Raw genomic sequence first — 19,849 nt, 5'->3', positions numbered from 1 at the left:
ATGTCTGTGGGGTACTCTTTTAGAAAGCAGTTGGTGTTTGGAAGGTGATAATGACAGGAACAGAGGAGGAAAGTAAATGACCTTGTACTCTTTTGTCTTACATTTATATCTTTGGGGTGTACCCTTTATCTTCCTTCCATTTTGTTGTGCCCAATTTCAAGGATCTCACAATCAAACAATTCACACAATGGAATTTAAAGTATATGTAGAAATCTTTTATCATTGTCATAAAGTATTTGGATAATCAAGGAAGGTATGCTCATAGTACTTCATATTTTTTTTCCTTCTCTTTTAAGCTGAGCCATTATCTGGATATTGTGGAAGTAAACATTGCTCACCAGATCTCTCTACGTTCAGAAGCATTTTTTCATGCAATGACCTCTCAACACGAGTTGCAGGACTACCTCAGGAAAACTTCCCAGGCTGTAAAAATGCTTCGAGATAAAATTGCACAGATTGATAAAGTAATGTGTGAAGGATCACTCCACATTTTAAGACTGGCACTTACCAGAAATAATTGTGTTAAAGTATACAATAAGCTGAAGTTAATGGCCACTGTACACCAGACTCAGCCTACAGTACAGGTGTTATTATCTACTTCTGAATTTGTTGGAGCATTGGACTTAATAGCAACAACACAAGAGGTTCTACAGCAGGAACTTCAGGGCATTCACAGTTTCCGGTATGTTCATTAAGTAAGCCACTAGAAATAATGTTAGAAATTTTTAAAGGATAAAATTGAGCATGTAATGTTAAAAGTGTGAATATATTCAAAGTTAAATGGATATTTTTTCTTCCAGATTGATCATTTGTTTAATAATGTTATTCTGATATTGTAGTATTAGCAAAACAAAAACCATAAGGAATAATATTTTCAGAGACATTTGGATGGAGAAGCAAAATTAAAATTTCTAGGAGATGAGATAAATGCAAGGCCAGTCACAACATTAACATTTTGAAAGTGTTGAAATAGCTTTGTGTCACAATGGTAGGTCAAGGTGGAGAGAATACCAGCATATTTAAAATTAAGTTTGTGTTGAAAGCCTTTAATAGATTTAAAATTGAATAATTATTAAAATTCATTTCTGATTTGCAGTCTGTTTATCAAATTGCAAAAGAAATCCACATGGTGATAGAAAAGACCCAATTTCTCCTGTTATTATTTTGAAAATACCTTAGGTTTTAAATATTTTATATGAAATCATTCCAAAGTGTTTATTTTATAGACTAATTGCAAGCCATCAAAATTTCGTTCCATTAAGCAGGCTTGCAGTATCCTTGTAGAAGTTCATATCTGCTGGGAAAACCATCCAAACCACGTACTAGTAAGTGACTATAAAGTTTTATGGAAGATGTGCTCTGTAACTTAATCCATTATGGAAAAGTTAGCTTCAAAATACATTTATTTTAATTGAATTATAAATCTTATTGACTGAAGATATGTAATTGGAATGTTTAGGATATATTTTTAAAGCTGAAACCAAATTTAATTAGATGAACAATTGATTGATTCATTCAGTTAAGGTATGGCTGTTGAGCACCTATTACATGTCAAGTACCAGACAGAATGAATACTGGGAATATAGTCATGAATGAAGTAGAGATGTTCAGTGCTCTAAAAGTCTCTACAATTTATTTGGCATGGGGAAGGAAGCAGACAAATTACTGCATAGTTATGATATAGTGTAATATAGTATGATGAATGGAAAGATTGCTGTGGAGCTCTGACCTTAGGGGTGGAACCTAATCCAGACTTGGATGGTTAAGAAAACGTTCTGAGTCACAAACTTCTTTGAGAATCCATTGAAAGGTACTGTTGGACCATCTTTCCACAAAAATATACCTGTACATAAAATTTTGCAATCAATTTTGGGTGATTCATGTTTTTTTGAAGTCTACTTTGAATTCCCCAGCATGGAACCCAGGGCAACTAAATTATTTTTAATTTTTCCTTCACCTTTGAAATTATAAGGATTTATCTTTGAATTTGTATGTCGTATGTATTTTTTCAATAAATGTCAATTTTGTCATTGCCTTAGAGAAATGGATTTCTATAATGACAGAAGCTGTGTTTTTAACTTATCACTTACTGTATAATATCATGAGTGTTGATGAATATTGGGAGCCAGTATCCCATAGATAGTACAGAGCTGAGAAATAGAATCAAAGATTGAATGCCGCCTTGGCAAACACAAATTCTCAAATTGTTCTAATTTTTACCTCAAAGTTCATGCAGTTTACTTTTACTTTCCTTGACTCATAAGTTTATGGTCAATACTCATGAAAAGTAATTTTAAGAAGAGGGTTGGATATTTATTTATTCTCAGTAGTTTATGATTTATTGGGTTACAGAATAAAAATTTTATAATCTTGTATTTATTATGAGCTCAAGGAAGAGCTTACCTTTGTTTTCAACCTTACTTTTTTTGTTTGTACCTTAAGTCAAAGTATAAAATATTCTTCATTTAAAAATGTCTATTATTTACGTATGTATTTATTTCGAGACAGGGTTTTTATTCTGCTGCCCAGGCTAGAGTGCAGTGGTGCGCTCTTAGCTCACTGTAACCTCTGCCCCCACCCCCAGTCCCCTGCTACCCTGTTAACTCCCCACCCACCACCAGCTCAAGCCATTCTCTCACCTCAGCCTCCTGAGTAGATGGGATTAAAAACACACACCACCATGCCCAGCTAATTTTTATTTATTTATTTTTTATTTTTTTGAGATGGAGTCTAGCTCTGTTGCCCAGGCTGGAGTGCAGTGGCACGATCTCGGTTCACTGCAACCTCCTCCTCCCGGGTTCAAGCGATTCTCCTGCCTCAGCTCCCGAGTAGCTGGGATTACAGGTGCCCGCCACTGTGCCCAGCTAATTTTTGTATTTTTAGTAGAGACAGGTTTTCACCATATTGGCCAGGCTGGTCTCGAACTCCTGACCTCCGGTGATCTGCCCATGTCGGCCTCCCAGAGTGCTGGGATTACAAGTGTGAGCTACCGTGCCTGGCCTGATTTTTATTTTTAGTAGAAACGGAGTCTTGCCGTGTTACCCAGGCTGGTCTCGAACTCCTGAGCTCACGCCATCTACCTTCCTCGGCTCCGCAGAGTGCTGTGATTACAGGCATTAGCCACCATGCTCGGCCAAAAATGTTTATGATTTTTAAAAAGACTTTCAGATGTTCTGATTTTCTACATTTTGCTCAATATCTTTCTATTTTTTTTTAGAACCACATGTGTAAAGAGTGTTATTTCTTCATGTAAAACATTTCTGTAAAGTTTCCTATCAAATGTCAGTTCCAATATATTTATAACTGTTTAAAAGTTTGGTATCAGAACTTGAGTCTCTGACTTCCAATAAACATATAGCAATTTATTTTCAAAAACAAAAGTACTCTAAAAGAAAATGTTTTTATAGTCAAGGAAGAATACTGAATCATACGTGAAGTAGTTTAAGACTTGTTATTATAACCCCATTCTTTTGTTTGTGTTTTGTTTTAAATTTGTGTCAAATCCTATATGATGATTTACTTTCTTGACTTTATCTTTCCTTTTGCTAAAGGTTGTTAAATATCAGCATTAGTTACTTTCTTATATAGTTTCACAGATGTTTTTAAGACCATTTAACTTTATTTAGAAGCATAAGAATTAGTTTTGGACGCTTTATAGATTGATTTTTATCCAGTACAATATGTATTAGAGATCTCTTATGGTAACATAAGCATTAGGTTATAAGCTGTTCTCCTTAGTTTATTAAAATAATTACACTCTCCCATTAGGAAATAAGAAATATTCTACTTGAATTTCACACGTTTTTGTCTTTTTTATATCAGAGTCCATATTTTAGTCATTTCGTGGGCCATATACTAAGCCATAGGGTCTTACTTGAAATAAGAAATCTTTCAGTAGGACAAGCAAAGGACTCTTTTAAATTTATTTGTTAATAGTCTTTCCATTTTATGAATCTTAGTCCAAGTTTTGCTTTTGGCTATACTGTTCTTTGTATTGCTTTTTTAAAATGTTCTATTTAATATATATATGCAGTCTTGCCCTGTCACCCAGGCTGGAGTGCAATGGTGCGATCATAGCTCAACTATAGCCTTGAACTCCTAGGCTCAAGTGATCCTCCTGCCCTAGCCTCCTGGGTAGCTAAGACTGTAGGTCTGTGCCACCACGCCAGGCTAATTTTTAAATTTTTTTGTAGAGATAAGGTCTTGCTGTGTTGCCCAGACTGGTTCTATTGCTTTTAAAGGGAACTTTCATACCACAATTTTCCAGTAGTTAAATTACCACAAATGCAAATCTCTGTTTTCAAAAAGGAATTTTAATAGTTGTATTTGTCTGCCATTTTTCTGTGTACTATTAACCTAACATCACATTTTTTCTAGTCATTAGTAGCAAATAATGCTTACGTGTGTCTTCTTTTTTCTCATTCCTTCTGTATTTTTTGACTTTGAAATTATTTTTCATGTAAACTTTTTTGGTGACCTCTGAGCTCCCAGAACACCTTGTTTATATTCTGTAATGAAATTTTACAGTCTCCTACCATGTTTTGTCATGGTTTGTGTTTTTATTTTAAATCTTTCTATTGGGCTTTGAATTTAAATGTCTTGGACAAGAGCTATGTTGTACACATCTTAATATGTATTTGTGAAATCTGTGAATTATTCAGTATATTACCAAATGTATCTTGACACTTTATTCCACTCTTTTTTTTTCCTGTCTATAATCATTGTCCCTAATTTCCCATTTATAATCTATATGACTATAATTCTTAATCCTGGCTGCATAATAAAATCTCCAGAAGAGCTTTTAAAAAAGTGTGCCACACCTCACCCAAGCCAATTAAGTCAGACTTTCTAGAGGTTAAGGCTTGAGCATGTGTATTTTTTTGAAAGCTCTCTGGGAGATTCTAATGTGCACCATAATTGAGAAGCCTGGTTTATAACTACTATTGGATACTCAACTTTTTCATGATTTGTAATTAAAGTGGTAGCATCTTCCTACATACATTTGTTCTTTCTAAAATGAAATTTTCAACTAACACATCTTCCTGTCTCTATTCAAAGAGGTTTCTACTAATGGATTTGGGGGTATGATGTATCTGTATAAGTTCCAAGTTTGATTTCCCCTCTTCAGAACTTGAAGGGTAATTTTGACTCATTGCATAACTCATAATTATTATTATTCTTTTGTACATTTGTAGAATTTTTAAATTTAAAAAATTTTGAATGATTGTACTACCTGAATTGTTGCAAAATTGGGCAATTTTAATTATTAGGACATAAATTTTTTTTTTTTTTTTTTTTGAGATGGAGTCTTGCTCTGTTGCCCAGGCTGGAGTGCAGTGGTGCAGTCTTGGCTCACTGCAAGCTCCGCCTCCCGGATTCACGCCATTCTTCTGCCTCAGCCTCCTGAGTAGCTGGGACTACAGGTGCCCGCCACCACACCTGGCTAATTTTTTGTATTTTTAGTAGAGACAGGGTTTCACCGTGTTAGCCAGGATGGCCTCGATCTCCTGACCTCGTGATCCGCCCGCCTTGGCCTCCCAAAGTGCTGGGATTACAGGTGTGAGCCACCGTGCCCGGCCGGGATATAAATATTTTTAACCATTACATGTGAAATGAAATTTTGCTATCTATTACCAATAAAAATGATAATCATTGAAACAATATATATCATTTATATACTAATTTAACTAAAAGTATTGCTGAGGCTAATGGCATTCAAATGCTTAAGCAGATGTAGTACATAAGTCTCGTGAGCCCAAGAATGCATTCGAATGTTGATATCTTGCAGGTTTTGATACAGAAAATCTTTAGTTACCTTGAAACTTAGGGCTGTGGTGTCGTTATTTGCTCTTACTGTAAAGCTTTGTGTAGAAACTCTTAGTTTTCATAATTGTCGTTAACACTCTATTCCTACTACTTCATACCATGATTACTACCACCGCCATTCTACAACAGAGGACATATATTGAATACTTGAGTATTCTGTACCAGATACTGTGCTAAGTATATTGACATCGCCCACTCCCCAAAAAACTGTGAGATAGGGAATGTTACCCACACTTTACAGATAGGAAAACTGAGGTCATATAGCAAGTTAAGTAACAGTACAGTAGAGATTCAACTTGGGTCTCACTGGGCTTGAGAGCTATGCTTTTTAATATATTTGTTTGAGGATCTTATGGGGCCTCAAATAGATCACTCTGAACATCAATACTAATTTGATTGTACAAACTGTGGGCAATTGAGCTATAGGTTTGCTCAGCAGCCAGGAACTACCATATTAATGGATTTTGGCGTAAAAATTACTGCAGCTAGCTTGTTTTCTACTTGTAAGCCTTTTTTTGTTTTGTTTTGAAAGAAAAGATGCAAAACACTCAGTTTATTATAGATTCCAGTTTATTATGATTTCATTGATCAGTGGCCACTGTGAGATTCCATTTAAGGGATCTTTATTATTGGATGTATCAAAAGGTATTTAACATGTTATTTGACCTTAAATCTCCTATAATTTAGATTTTAAAATATTGTAGTAAGAAAACATCCACATTGTATGTTTTGTGATGAAGAAATCAGACTTCTTACTATTTGATGAAACTAGAATTCTACAGAGTTTATTGATATACAAGGTTTTCTGATAAGAACAGCACAGAGGTCACTGTATTGAACATACAGCTTAGTAGAAGGTCTGAATTAATGTGCAAATTGAGGCATATCTAAGTAGAAAGTATTGGGATTGTTTCAGTTTACTTAGCTGGATATATTTTTCAGAAAGTGATATTTTAGTTGTCATTTCAGTAGATTCACCACTCTAAATTACTGTATGTGATTATTAGGATACATACTTTTAAAACAAGGTGTTAGCAGATTTATCTTAAATATTTTTGTTAAGGTTAATAATAATGCATACATCATTATTATTGCATCTATTGTCAAAGTAGCCAAGAATATACAAGAATAGATTGAGGATGAATAGGTGAAACTTGTAAAATATTATAGTTCTGAAAGTTGCATTTAAGGATTTGTGTAGACAAATTCTTGCATATATAAAATACCTGTGATTATAAAATAAGTACTGTTTGGTGTTAGTATTGAGGTTCTTTATTAAATTAATTATATAGCCTGTATTAGATAATTGAACTTTAAAATTACTGTAAGGATACATAAAAATGAAGCTATTCAAGTTGTTTAAAATAATATCTAAGGTCAAATAGAACATTGCATTTAAGTTGTGCCGAAATGAGGGAAAGTTTTATTATTTTGATGCCCAAATATCAGTAGGTACAGTCATATGGACCTCCCACCATAATTCTTTATGGAGATTTGTTGAAGATTATTTATACTTGAGGTAACACATACCTGAGTGCTAACCTCTAGTCTGCATTAAAAAAGAATCAATGATCTTCATAAAAATAATTGAGAGCCAAGCAATATTAGGTCTAAATTTATATCCTACACTGTCACTGTTTTTTTTTAAACTTATACTCAAACATACACAACAGTAAAGGAAATTATATGAAAAGAATTATAGGAAGCTAGATGAATTGTTTATCTAAGTTGTCAATGCAAAGCAAAGTTTGTTTTATCTGTATCCTGTATTATTTTGTAACAAACCCTGAACATTTTGTTTCATTCATAAATATTTCATTAGGTATCTTTGAAAGATAAGGATTTTTTAAAAATATAACTCTAATGTCATTTATATTTTCAAATATAGCTAGTCAGTGTTCAGATTTTCCTGTTAGTCTCAAAATTCTTTCTTATGGTGTGTTTATTGTAATCAGGGTCCAAATAATATCTATATATTGCAATTGGTTGATATGTCTCAAGTGTTTTTTGATCCATAGTTATCCATTCTAATTTTCTTTCAAAATACTAATCGAAGAAACTGGGTTGTCTTATAGTGCTTCCCATAGTTTGGATTTTGTAAACTATGTTTCCATGTTTAGCATGTTATTTTTTCACCTATATTCTCTGTAATTGATAGTTAGTTTTAAAAGCTTGATTAGCTTTAAATTTTACTTTTTAACAAGAGCACCTAATAGACAGTGGTGTGTATTTCAGTCAAGAAGCATGAAAAGTCTCTCTTTTGATGATTAGCAGCCATTTAATAATTGCTGTCTAGATTTATCATTAATTGTGGGCTACAAATTATGATACTCTAATTCTATCCCACTTTCTTTACTTATTCACTGGAATATTTCTATGAATTGATGTTTCCCTATAACAATTATTTGGTCACCCTTTGAAGGACAATTCTTACAAGATTAGACAGGATAAATGCTAGATTCTTTTCCTTTATTTAGCTGTTTTCAAAATAACGAATTGGAAATCTAGCATCCTCCAAAGATAACTGATGAATTTTTAAAGATATTATAAATACATGGATTTATATGCAAAGTGTTTTAAGTTCTTTCTTTTTAATTTTTATCAATGTTCAAATTGAATTATCATTTGTAGGAACCTCCTCAAGTTCATTCTTGAGTCTTTTTGACATGATTTCCTAAGTAGTTATTGACAGTTTTCTTACTTTGTGTTATGACAGGATGTTTATAGTATGCATTTCCTACCCCAGACCTGTAATCTGCCATTTGTCTAGGGAGCCCTACTTTCTTTTAGTAGGAAATAGTATTTAGAAATCCATATGGGTAGTAGGCATGTTCTTGCTACTGGATTGGCCATTATTTCTAGGCTTTTGTAGTGGACAGAACTGGGAAATAATTTTCTTTTTTAAGTGACTTTGATACATCTTAAGGAAAAGAAGAGGAAAAAGTCCTATATTGTTTGTATTAATAATATTGTTCTGAGACAATCTGTGTATGTTGTGGGATAAAACAAGTGAGGAATTATGTTAGTGTCATTAGTAATCACAGTTTTCAGCCTGATTAAAAGGAGACGCATATGTAAGATTGAAGAAGTGAAAACCATATAGTCTTGAATTTAAATGGAAGTATCAGTATGACCTCAGTTTTTCTCCCCCACAACCCCTACCATAAGTCGCCATTTAAAAGTTTTAGTTTGTATCTATCTATCCATCCATCTATCTGTCTGTCTCTCATCTTAGATAAGTGTTAGCGCACTGTACATACTGTTCTCCACCTTGCTGTTTTTACCTTAAAATATACTCTGGATATTGTACATGCGCTACAGCATGCATTCTCAATGGGAGATACTACCGCAAGAGGGCAAATGTTGACTCTTGAAAGGTGAAAAAAAATCTTGAATATAACAATGGTTTTTGACCCTTCAAAGGGCCATAGTACATAAACAGATATATAATACATTTGTGGCATTAAAGTTTCCTAGGGGTGGCTGGGTAGCGTGGCTCATGCTTATAATTCCAGCACTTTGGGAGGCCAAGGCGGGTGGACCACTTGAGGTCAGGAGCTCAAAACCAGCCTGGCCAATATGGTGAAACCCTGTCTTTTACTAAAAACACAAAAATTAGCTGGGTGTGGTGGTGCATACCTGTATTCCTAGCTACTTGGGAGGCTGAGGCACGAGAATTGCTTGAACCTGGGAGGTGGAGGTTGCAGTGAGCTGAGATTGCACCACTACACTCCAGCCTAGGCAACAGAGGGAGACTCTGTCTAAAAAAAAAAAAAAAAAAAAAAAATTAAAAATTTCATGGGGTTGTGTGTGTGTGAGATTAGAAAAGGCTTCTAGAGGGGAAATAATGAAAAAAAAACTGCTCTATAGCTGTATGTATAGGTATTTATCAATTCTTTTAAAAGTGAGTAATATCTATTTAAAATAAATGCATTGTGATTTATTCAACCATTCTCCATTGGTCAGCATTTGGGTTGTTTCTATTCTGTTACAGTTATCAACAGTAGGGCAGTTAATGTATGTTCTTTGGTATTTTTGCTCATGCATCTTTGAGACAGATTCTAAGAAGTGAGATTCCTAGGTCAAAATTCCTCTGTGATTTTGCTAGATACTGCCAAATTCCTCTTGTGACAATGTTTTAGTTTGTACTGGTGGAAATATTCTAAATTAGTCTACTGTAAGATATTGATGCCATTTATGAGAACGTTTTTAGTCTATTAACTATAAGAAATATAATTTCCTGTTGTAAGATGCAAACTTACATGTTATTTCACTTATCAGATTTGTTTCATAATTATCACTACTCCTACTTACCATATGTTGTTTATAAAACAAGAATAATGCATCTACCCAAAAGGTCAAATGGTTTTAACTAATTTTTTAAAAATTGTGTTATATCTCATCTTTCTTAGTAAATATAGTTGCCAGTATTAAGGATTTGTTTTTCAAGTAAATGTAGTGTGGATATAGTTTAAATGTTTTTTAAATTTTAATGTAATATAAAATTTAAATGTTTTAAAACTGCCCCTCAAAATAGAGCTTAAAACATTTTTTTCCCTGAGATATAAACATATTTTCCATTGGACTCTTTCACTTAAGTTTTGAAATTCTTTGGACCAACTAGGTTATCTAGGCTTCTTTAGCTCATTGCTTTTACACAGCTATTTGAAAGTATGGCAGAAATCCCTTTGTATGTGAAAGTACTTCATCCTTACATTTTTCAGTCTTGTGTTTCAATGACTTTCAGTTTAATGACTTAAGCGATGTTGCACAGTAACTCAAACTGATTATAAGAAAGATTGAATTGAGTCCATCTGTACATACAGTCCTTCAGATATTTATTTGCACCCAGAACAGGGCCTAGCGCAGGGTAGGCACAAATGTTTGTTGAATAAATGAATGACTAGGGAGCTACCACCATTGATATTCAGTAAATAGTTAATAAGGAAAGGACTTAGAATGTCAATATTTTGTCTGTGGAAAACAATCATAAATGTACCCAGTAACCAGGTTTTCTAGAACACATTTATTTGGAGGCTAAAGGTACACCTTTGACCTTGAACAACATGGGTTTGGACTTGTGGGTCCATTTATACACAGATTTTTTTTCAGTAAATATATTGGAAAAGTTTTTGGAGATTTGTGAAAGTTGAAAAAACTTACCACATAGCCTAGAAATATATATGCCATGAATGCATAAAATATATGTAGGTACTAGTCTATTTTATCATTTACTACCATAAAATATACACAGCACTATTTAAAAAGTTAAAATTTATCCAAACTTGCACACAGACTGTATATGGCCCCACTCATGCAGTATTAAATCATAACTGCAGAAAACTAACTGTGGTACATATTGTACCACTGTAATAATTTCATAACCACCTCCTGTTGCTACTGTGGTGAGCTGAAGTGATGCTAGTCATCTATGTTTGAGCAGTTCCTCTCTCCAGTAAATTGAGTATCACAGTAAAAGGTGATCTCTTATAGTTTTTGCATGGTTTTTATTGTCTTTAATACATACTATACACCTTAAATAACACCATGGGACCCATACTAAGTTCACTGGTGATGCTGGAAGTACTCCCAAGAAGCAGAGAGAAGTCATGACATTTACAGTAAAAAGTTTAATTCCTTGATGTGTATAGTAGATTGAGGTCTGCAGTTGTGGTTGCCCATGACTGTAAAAAAAAAAAAAAAAAAAGGGAAATTTGTGAAGTCCTCACTCCAGCTACAACAGCATTTACAAAAACCTTTTCTTTTTGCAAGTACCTTTTTATCCATTATTGAAAATGCAGATTTTATGCAGGTGCAGGCTTACTATGAGAAAGGCATACCTATAGACTCTAATATTACTTGAGAAAAAGCTAAGATATCAAGTGGTAATTTAAAGCAAAAGGAAAGTGAAGGATCTAAAGCTGGAGAACTTAATGCCAGCAAAGGATGGTTTGATAATTTTAGAGGTTTGGCTTAAAAAAATGTCATGATAATAGGAGAAGCAGCTTCTGCTGACAAAGAGGCAGCAAATGAGTTCCTGGATACCATTTAGAAAATAATGGAGGAGAAAGAATATCTACCTGAAAGGTTTTAATGCAGACAAAAGTGCCCTACTCTGGGGGAAAAAAAAAGCCACAAAGAACATTTATTAGCAAGGAAGAGATAGTGAGCACCAGGATTTAAGACAGGAAGGGATAGGCTATCTCTTACTGTTTTGTGCAAATGAAGTCAGGTTTCTGATCAGGACTGCCCTTATCTATAAAGCTGCTAACCCACAAGCTTCAAAGGGAGAAGATAAATAACAGCTGCCAGTCTTCTGCTTATACAACAAAAGACCTGGATGAGAACCCTTTTTCTGGATTGGTGCCATTAATGCTTTGTCTCTGAAGTCAGGAAGTACCTTGCCAATAAGAGACTGCCTTTTAAAGTACTTTTGGTGTTGAACAATGCCCCTGTCCACCCAGAACCCCATGAATTCAGCACCAGAGGCATTAAAATGATCTCCTTGCCCCAAACACAACATCTCTAATCTAGCTTCTAGATCAGAGAGTCATAAGTACCTTTACAGCTCATTACACACACTACTCTATGGAAAGGATTATCAGTGCTATGGAAGAGAACCCCGATAGAACATCACGAAAGTCTGGAAGGATTACACCATTGAAGATGCCGTCATTGTTATAGAAAAAGTTGTGAAGACCATAAAGCCCGAAACAATAAATTCCTGTTAGAGAAAACTGTGTGCAGATGCTGTGAGACAATCAAGGAAATCATGAAAGAGATTGTGGATGTGACAAGGGTGAGGAATGAAGGATTTCAAGATAAGAATCTTGGAGAAATTCAACAGCTAATAGGTACCACAACAGAGGAATTAACAGAAGATGACTTGACGGAGATGAGTGTTCTCAAACCAATGCCAGACAATGAGGAAAAAGAGATAGAAGCAGCAGTGCCAGAAAACAAGATGACATTAGACAATCTGGCAGCAGAGTTCCCATTATTCAAGACTTCCTTTGACTTCTTTTATGACATGGACTCTTCTATGGGCACTGAAACTAAAGCAAATGGTGAAAGAAGGATTGGTACCATATAGAAACAAACATTTTTAGAGAAATGCAAAAGTAAAGTCAGAAATTACAGTGCATTTCGGTAAAGTTATACTGAGTGTGCCTGCCTCTTCTGCCTCCACTTCCACCTCCTCTGCCACCCTTAAGATAGCAAGACCAACCTCTCCTCTCCCTCCTCCTCCTCAGCCTACTCAATGTGAAGATAACTTTTATGATGATCTGATTCCAGTTAATCAATAGTCAATGTATTTTCTTTTCCATAGGATTTTCTTAGTACCATATTTTCTCTAGCTTTATTGTAAGAATATAGTATATGGTACACATAATATAGAAAAGAATGTGTTCACTGACTTTATGTTATTGGTAAGGCTTCTGGTCAACATAAGCTATTAGTTAAATTTTTGGGGAGTCAAAAGTTATACACAGATTTCTGATTGCACTGGTGTTTGGTGCCTCTAACCCCCATGTTGTTCAAGGGTCAACTGTAAAGAGAAAAATGGAATTTAGAAGATGAAATGTTTGCAGTTATTTTGGTAAGTTAAAGGACTTCATTTTTTGAAAACATTGCATTATTGCACAGGTACTGTCAACTGAAAAAGTTTTACCTACTAGTTCCCTTGATTGTGGAGCGAATTTGTAGTTTTTAGTGAATATAAATATAACATTTTTCTCTTCCTTTTTAGGCATTTGGGATCACAGCTTTGTGAATTAGAAAAACTGATAGATAAAATGATGATTGCAGAATTTTCTACTTATTCTCACAGTGACTTAAATAGACCACTGGAAGATGACTGTCAAGTTTTAGAAGAGGTATGTGTTTTAACTGTGGAATGAAGTTGATGCCATTGCTTAACAGTCTTGGCTTAGAACACATTTTTCTCAGATTATAGGAATCAAAATTATCTTAAATTTCAAGGGCTATCAGACCTATGAAGTCCTTCACTAGCTATGTGACTTGAGCAAGCACCATGATTGTTCACTATCCTATGGAATTAGAGAATAAAATAATTGTATAGCTTAATTAGAAATTAGAGTTAAAATGAGCTTACAGACCAAGTTAAAAATACAGATATAGGATGAATTAATTTATATTCTGTGTTTATGTGTGCGAGTGCTGGAGCTTGTCTTTTATAAAAAGTGATCATAGTTGGGCGCATTGGCTCCATGCCTGTAATCCCAGCAGTTTGAGAGGCTGAGGTGGGAAGATTGCTTGAGCCCAGGAGTTTGAGACCAGCCTTGGCAACACAGGGAGACTCCATCTCTACGAAAAATAAAAAAATTAGCTGGGTGTAGTGGTGCATGCACACCTGTAGTCCCAGCTACTTGGGTGGCTAAGGCGAGAGGATCACTTGAGTCCAGGAGTTTGAGGCTGTTAGTGAGCCATGATTGTGACATAGCAAGACCCTGTCTCAAAAAAAAAAAAAAAAAAAAACCGAAAAAGTGATCATTATCATATGGTAATTACCCGTCATTCAAATTTACTGAGTACCTATTATGAACATGTTTTTTATATATGTATATACAAATACATAATATCCAGGCTTCACTTAGCTGGTAACTTCTCAGTGTTAATCACTGACAACAACTAGTAAAAAATCCCAGAAACCCTGATAACTGCCTAAGTAAAGAAACTTTTGTAGATGTTAGCAGTTGACTTCCCACTGTGAGAGTCTAGGTCATTATTTCAGTCTTCTAGACTATGCATTACAAAGCATGGGTGAGGTGCAGTGGGTCAGGCCTATAATCCAAGCACTTTAGGAGGCTGAAGCTAGAGGATCGTTTGAGCCCAGGAATTTGAGACCAGCCTGGGCAACACAGTGAGTCTACAAAACAAATTTAAAAATTAGCCAGGTGTGGTGGTGCATGCCTCTAGTCCCAGCTACTCGGGAGGCTGAGGTGGGAGGATCACTTGAGCCTGGGAGATCAAGGCTGCAGTGAGCTGTAATCACCTCACTACACTCCAGCCTTGGCAACAGAGTGGAACGCTGTCTCAAAACAAAGAAGCAAAAACCAAAAAAAACCCACAGGGCCCATGGAGTATTTATTGGTCATCAGGGTGTGAGAAGGATATTTTTTACTTGTTGAAACTAGAACAAAAAATACCCTTGTATTGTTTTGCCCGAAAACCAGCTTCATTGGTTCACTGTGGTGGGGTAGGATTTATCTGTTTTACAGCACTGACTCCAAAAATCTCATGATAAGATTGCTGTGGGAGGGGTTTTCAGGCTGCTAGAAAATACTTTGTGCAGGATAGAGATCTGAGGATCAAACAGAACTCTTGATGCTGAATATTTCTACCTCTAAGTAAAATTACTTCATATTTAAAATGTCAAGTTACATACTTTTATTTTAACAGGAAAGACTAATATCTCTTGTATTTGGACTTTTAAAACAAAGAAAGCTTAATTTTTTAGAAATCTATGGTGAAAAAATGGTTATTACAGCAAAGAATATCATTAAACAGGTAATTATGCATTTTTATTTGACATATTTTGGTCTGGAACCTTTGTGAAGTTTATTTTTATGTTATCCTAGTAATAATATATATAGTGTAATAGTAATATAGCTCATTTATGTAAAAACTGAAAATTTAGAAAAATGAAAGTAAAACATAGCCTTACCAGCCAAAAGATTATTGCTATAGGAATATTTCCACGTGTAGACTGATTTTCTTATGTTGTCATTATGTGTATATGATTTTATACATATATTTCAGTTACAATCATAAGCAGTTTCTCATATTATTATAAAAGCTTTCAGAAACATCATTTTTAATGATTGTGTAAAGTCCCATTAACATTATGTTAAATCTACTTAACTTTTCCTCTGTGTTGAATATTTAGGTTGTTTATAATTTAATACAATAAATAGCACTGTGACAGACATCTGTGGTATAAAGTTATTTTGTTTGTTTTTCGTACTTAAGAATGTTTGTTCTTAGACTGATTCCTAGAAGTATTGGTTAGAGAGTGAAAAGTATTTTTAAGTTATTTGATGTATAGAATTTAATTCCTATTTAAAAAGATTTGCCAATTTATACTCCCATCAGCAGTAGACAAATGTTCATTTCCTTTTTATCCTAATCTCTAAGAAATTATAAACTAGAATCCATGTGTTTTTCAGTATTCCCTGATCTTTGTTTTGACTTTTTTTAGTCAGATAAATCTTATCCACTGAACTTCAGTTTTTTAATATATGAAAAAGATAATATGATTTTAAAGGTATTTATTAGGCTTAATTGATTATTATCATTAGGTTGAATGTACATATATGAGTTTTTAAAGTTTAAGTTTAAAAGTTAAATAAGCAAAAAAATTATAATCATCCCCTCTTTCAAGCACTGATTAAAACACTATTTTTAAATTGGTACAACCACTTTGAAAAATTGTTGGCAATATATAGTAATGCCAAATTTGCATACATGTTGTGACCCAGCATTTCTATTCCTAGGTATGCACCCAACAGAAATATGTATATAAGTTCACCAAAACACAGCAGAAGAATGTTCCTGGCAGTACTATTTGTAATTTTAAAAACTGGAAACAGCCCAAATTCCATCACCAGTAGAAAGGATAAATAGAATTTTGATGTATTTGTACAGTGGAATACTATACATTAATGAGAATGAATAGATTACACAGAATAACAAATGAATATCATAGACATAACGTGGAGCCAAAGAAACCAGACACAGAAAAGTATACATTGTATGATTCCACTTATGTAAAACTCAAATGCAGGCAAAATTATTCTATGGTTTAAAAATCAAGATAATAGTATATTTTGGGAGGAAGTAGTAACTGGTAGGGGAATAGGGGAGGAGCTCTGGGTATTAGCAAGGTTGTTTCATGAGCTGAGTTCTGATTACACAGATGTACTCCATTTGTACAAAAATATTGAGCTGTAAACATAATTTGTACAATTTTCTGTATATATATTTTAAGCAATTTCTAAAAACTGGTATGTTTCAATTCCCAGACTTCAAATCTAAGCATTTATTTTTTAATTTTAAACTGTTGCATGTATCACAAGGAAATGTAACTTCTAATACTAATTTCTTTTGGGATTTTAATATGGGGCTTACACCTTGTTCCTAAGTATTATAGTTCTGCTTTTCTGGTGTAGGATTTTGAACAGTTTTGAATATTAGGTGATTTTAATTATTACAATTCAAACATACTCTGAAATAATTATTTAATTGGCTAATTGTAATCAGCTTTTCAAACACTGTGAGAGATACATAAGAGATAAAAATCTGGTAAAATAATTATTGTAGCCAGTAAGAGCCTTTAAAATTTTTTTTTATCTTAAGTTCAGGGGTTCATGTGCAGGTTTATTATGTAAGTAAACATGTGACATGAGTTTTTTTGGTATAGATTATATCATCACCCAGGTATTAAGCCTAGTACCCATTAGTTATTTTTCTGGTCATTTCTCTCCTCCCACCCTCCACTCTCCAATAGTCTCCACCGTGTGGTGTTCCCCTCTATGTGTCTGTGTGTTCTCATCATTTAGCTCCCACTTACAAGTGAGAACATGCAGTATTTGGTTTTCAGTTTCTGTGTTAGTTTGCTAAGGATAATGAGCTCCAGCTCCATCCATGTTCCTGCAAAGGACATAACCTCATTGTTTTTTTTATGGCTGCATAGTATTCCATGGTGTACGTGTACCACATTTTCTTTATCCAGTCTATCATTGATGGGCATTTAGGTTGATTCCATGTATTTGCTATTGTGAATAGTGCTACAGTGGACATAAGTGTGCATGTGTCTTTAATAATAGAACAATTTTTATTCCTCTGGGTATGTAACCAGTAATGGGATTGCTGGATTGAATGGTATTTCTCTCTTTAGGTCTTTGAGGAATCGCTACACTGTCTTCCACAATGGTTGAACTAATTTACACTCCCATCAGCAGTGTATAAGTGTTCCCTTTTCTCTACAACCTTGCCAGCACCTGTTATTGTTGACTTTTTAGTAATAGCCATTCTTACTTGTGTGAGATGGTATCTCATTGTGGTTTTGATTTGCATTTCTCTAATGATCAGTTATGTTGGCCACATGTATGTCCTTTTTTGAAAAGTGTCTGTTCATATAGTAAGGGCCTTTTTAATGTACAAATGGAACATGGAATACTTAGGATTTGAAAGACAATTAATCAAATTGTTTTTGTTTTTTCTTAAATTTTGCAGTGTGTGATTAATAAAGTTTCACAAACAGAAGAAATAGACACAGATGTTGTTGTGAAGTAAGTATAAATATATAGGTTGGTGGTTATCAGTCAGAGAAAAGATGATAGATGTAAATTAGAATAATTCGAAGTAGATTTCGTTAAGGAATTATTTACTAAGGTGTGAGCAGGGTGTAGGAAAATCACAAGTGACAGTGTGGAACGAAGACAGTGCTTAACAGAATTGAGGAGAAAGGTAGTTGGAAAAAAAGCTGTGACCTTGAGTAGAGGGAAGCAGTCACCCTGAGGCAACCCTTGAGAGAGACAGGAGAAATAGGTACCTTTACTAGAGAGCTAGAGGAGTAGGTACCTTTACTCCTTCCAGTTTTTGTAAGGGCTCCTCAATGGCCAGGCCCACATGTTAGCTTCCCAGAGCAGAGAGCAGGATGGACAGGGACAGAACATAGATATGGAGAGGTGAAATTGGAGATAATTCATTACAGGGGCATAGCAAGCATTATGTTTAAATTTGTAGCTATGTAATTAAAATCAACTTTTAATTGGCTTTGAGAAGTTTGAGTTAATGATTTTGAATTGCCCATGTTTGTATTTTTTTTTTGTTTTCACCCTAGAAATTCCTATTCTTGGCCAGGCGCATTGACTCACACCTGTAATCCCAGCACTTTGGGAGGCCGAGGTGGGAGAATCGCTTGAGCCCAAGAGTTCGAGACCACCCTGGGCAATAAAGTGAGACCCCATCTCTACCAAAAATAAACATTAAAAAAATAAGTTGGGCATGGTGGCACATGCCTGTAGTCCTAGCTACTCAGGAGGCTAAGGTAGGAGGATGGTTTGAGCCTGGGAGGTCCAGGCTTCAGTGAGCCATGATTGTGCCACTGCATTCCAGCCTGCACAAGGAAGTAAGAGCCTGTCTCAAAAAAAAAAAAAAAGAAAGAAAGAAAGAAAGAAAAGAAAAATTCCTATTCTATTATTTTAAGAAGAATAGTGATAATATTTTATGACTGAATTTCTTGTTCATATGGATATTTAAATGTTTTTAGCTGGCTTAGATATGACTAGCAATATGTACGACTGTGAAACTTTCTTGGGCCAAACTCACAGAATGGAGTATTAATTTCCACACTATTATCTAGGGAAAACTCAATTTCAGAATTAGTTGAAGCAAACTATAATAATCAGAGAATTGTTAGTGGTTGGAAAACATAAGTCATTGGGACACTATTAGAAGCTCCATGGATGTGGAGAGTCAGTTTTTCTTCTTCCCTAGGGAATTTTCTCCATAGAAGTAGAGAACTTCCTGTATATCAAGTGTTGTAGTATCTTTTTAGAATAAACTCTTAACTGAAGCTGCGTTTATTAAAAATTTAGAGTAATAAGTCATTTTGGTACTATAAAATATCTTTAGGGAATGAATTTGTATTACTTTTTTTCACCTTGAAGTTAATGATTTCTGTCAACTATCAAAATAATATTGGCTGCTGCTTACATGGTACTTTTAAAAATGTGTCATGAATTGTTCTAAGTATTTTTTATTAACTCATATAATATTTACAACAACCACATAAGGTAGGTTCTGTCAGTTTCCTCATGTTAGATGAGAAAATTGGAGCGTGGAGGGGTTAAGTCACTTGCCAGAGCCACATAGCTAGCAATTCCAATAAGCTGCTGCTATTTTAAACCAAGGCATTGTGTTGTGGTTCCAGGGCTCTTAACTCATGCCATATTACTTCTCATATGGTATTTTTAAAGTTGTAGTTAGAAAAGCA

At 34.4% G+C, this 19,849-nt stretch overlaps 1 protein-coding gene across 10 annotated transcripts in view; it reads left to right on the top strand.

The window, feature by feature from the left end:
• The window catches only part of VPS54 (VPS54 subunit of GARP complex), a 127,279-nt gene that overhangs the window by 56,689 nt on the left and 50,741 nt on the right, over positions 1–19,849 (top strand). For all 10 annotated transcript variants that reach the window (XR_007076389.1, XM_017004316.2, NM_001005739.2 and 7 more), the window contains 4 exons: positions 297–682; positions 13,577–13,703; positions 15,250–15,357; positions 18,085–18,140. Coding sequence is in view for 9 of the 10 variants with exons in the window: in XM_017004316.2 (XP_016859805.1) it covers positions 297–682; positions 13,577–13,703; positions 15,250–15,357; positions 18,085–18,140 (677 nt within the window). In the remaining variant the exon portion in view is untranslated. The remainder of the gene's footprint in view (positions 1–296; positions 683–13,576; positions 13,704–15,249; positions 15,358–18,084; positions 18,141–19,849) is intronic.

The sequence above is a fragment of the Homo sapiens genome, chromosome 2, assembly GCF_000001405.40.
Source record: "Homo sapiens chromosome 2, GRCh38.p14 Primary Assembly".
Lineage (NCBI taxonomy): Eukaryota > Metazoa > Chordata > Mammalia > Primates > Hominidae > Homo > Homo sapiens.
Note: the sequence above shows the minus strand (reverse complement) of the source record. Positions and strands in the feature narration are given on the sequence as shown.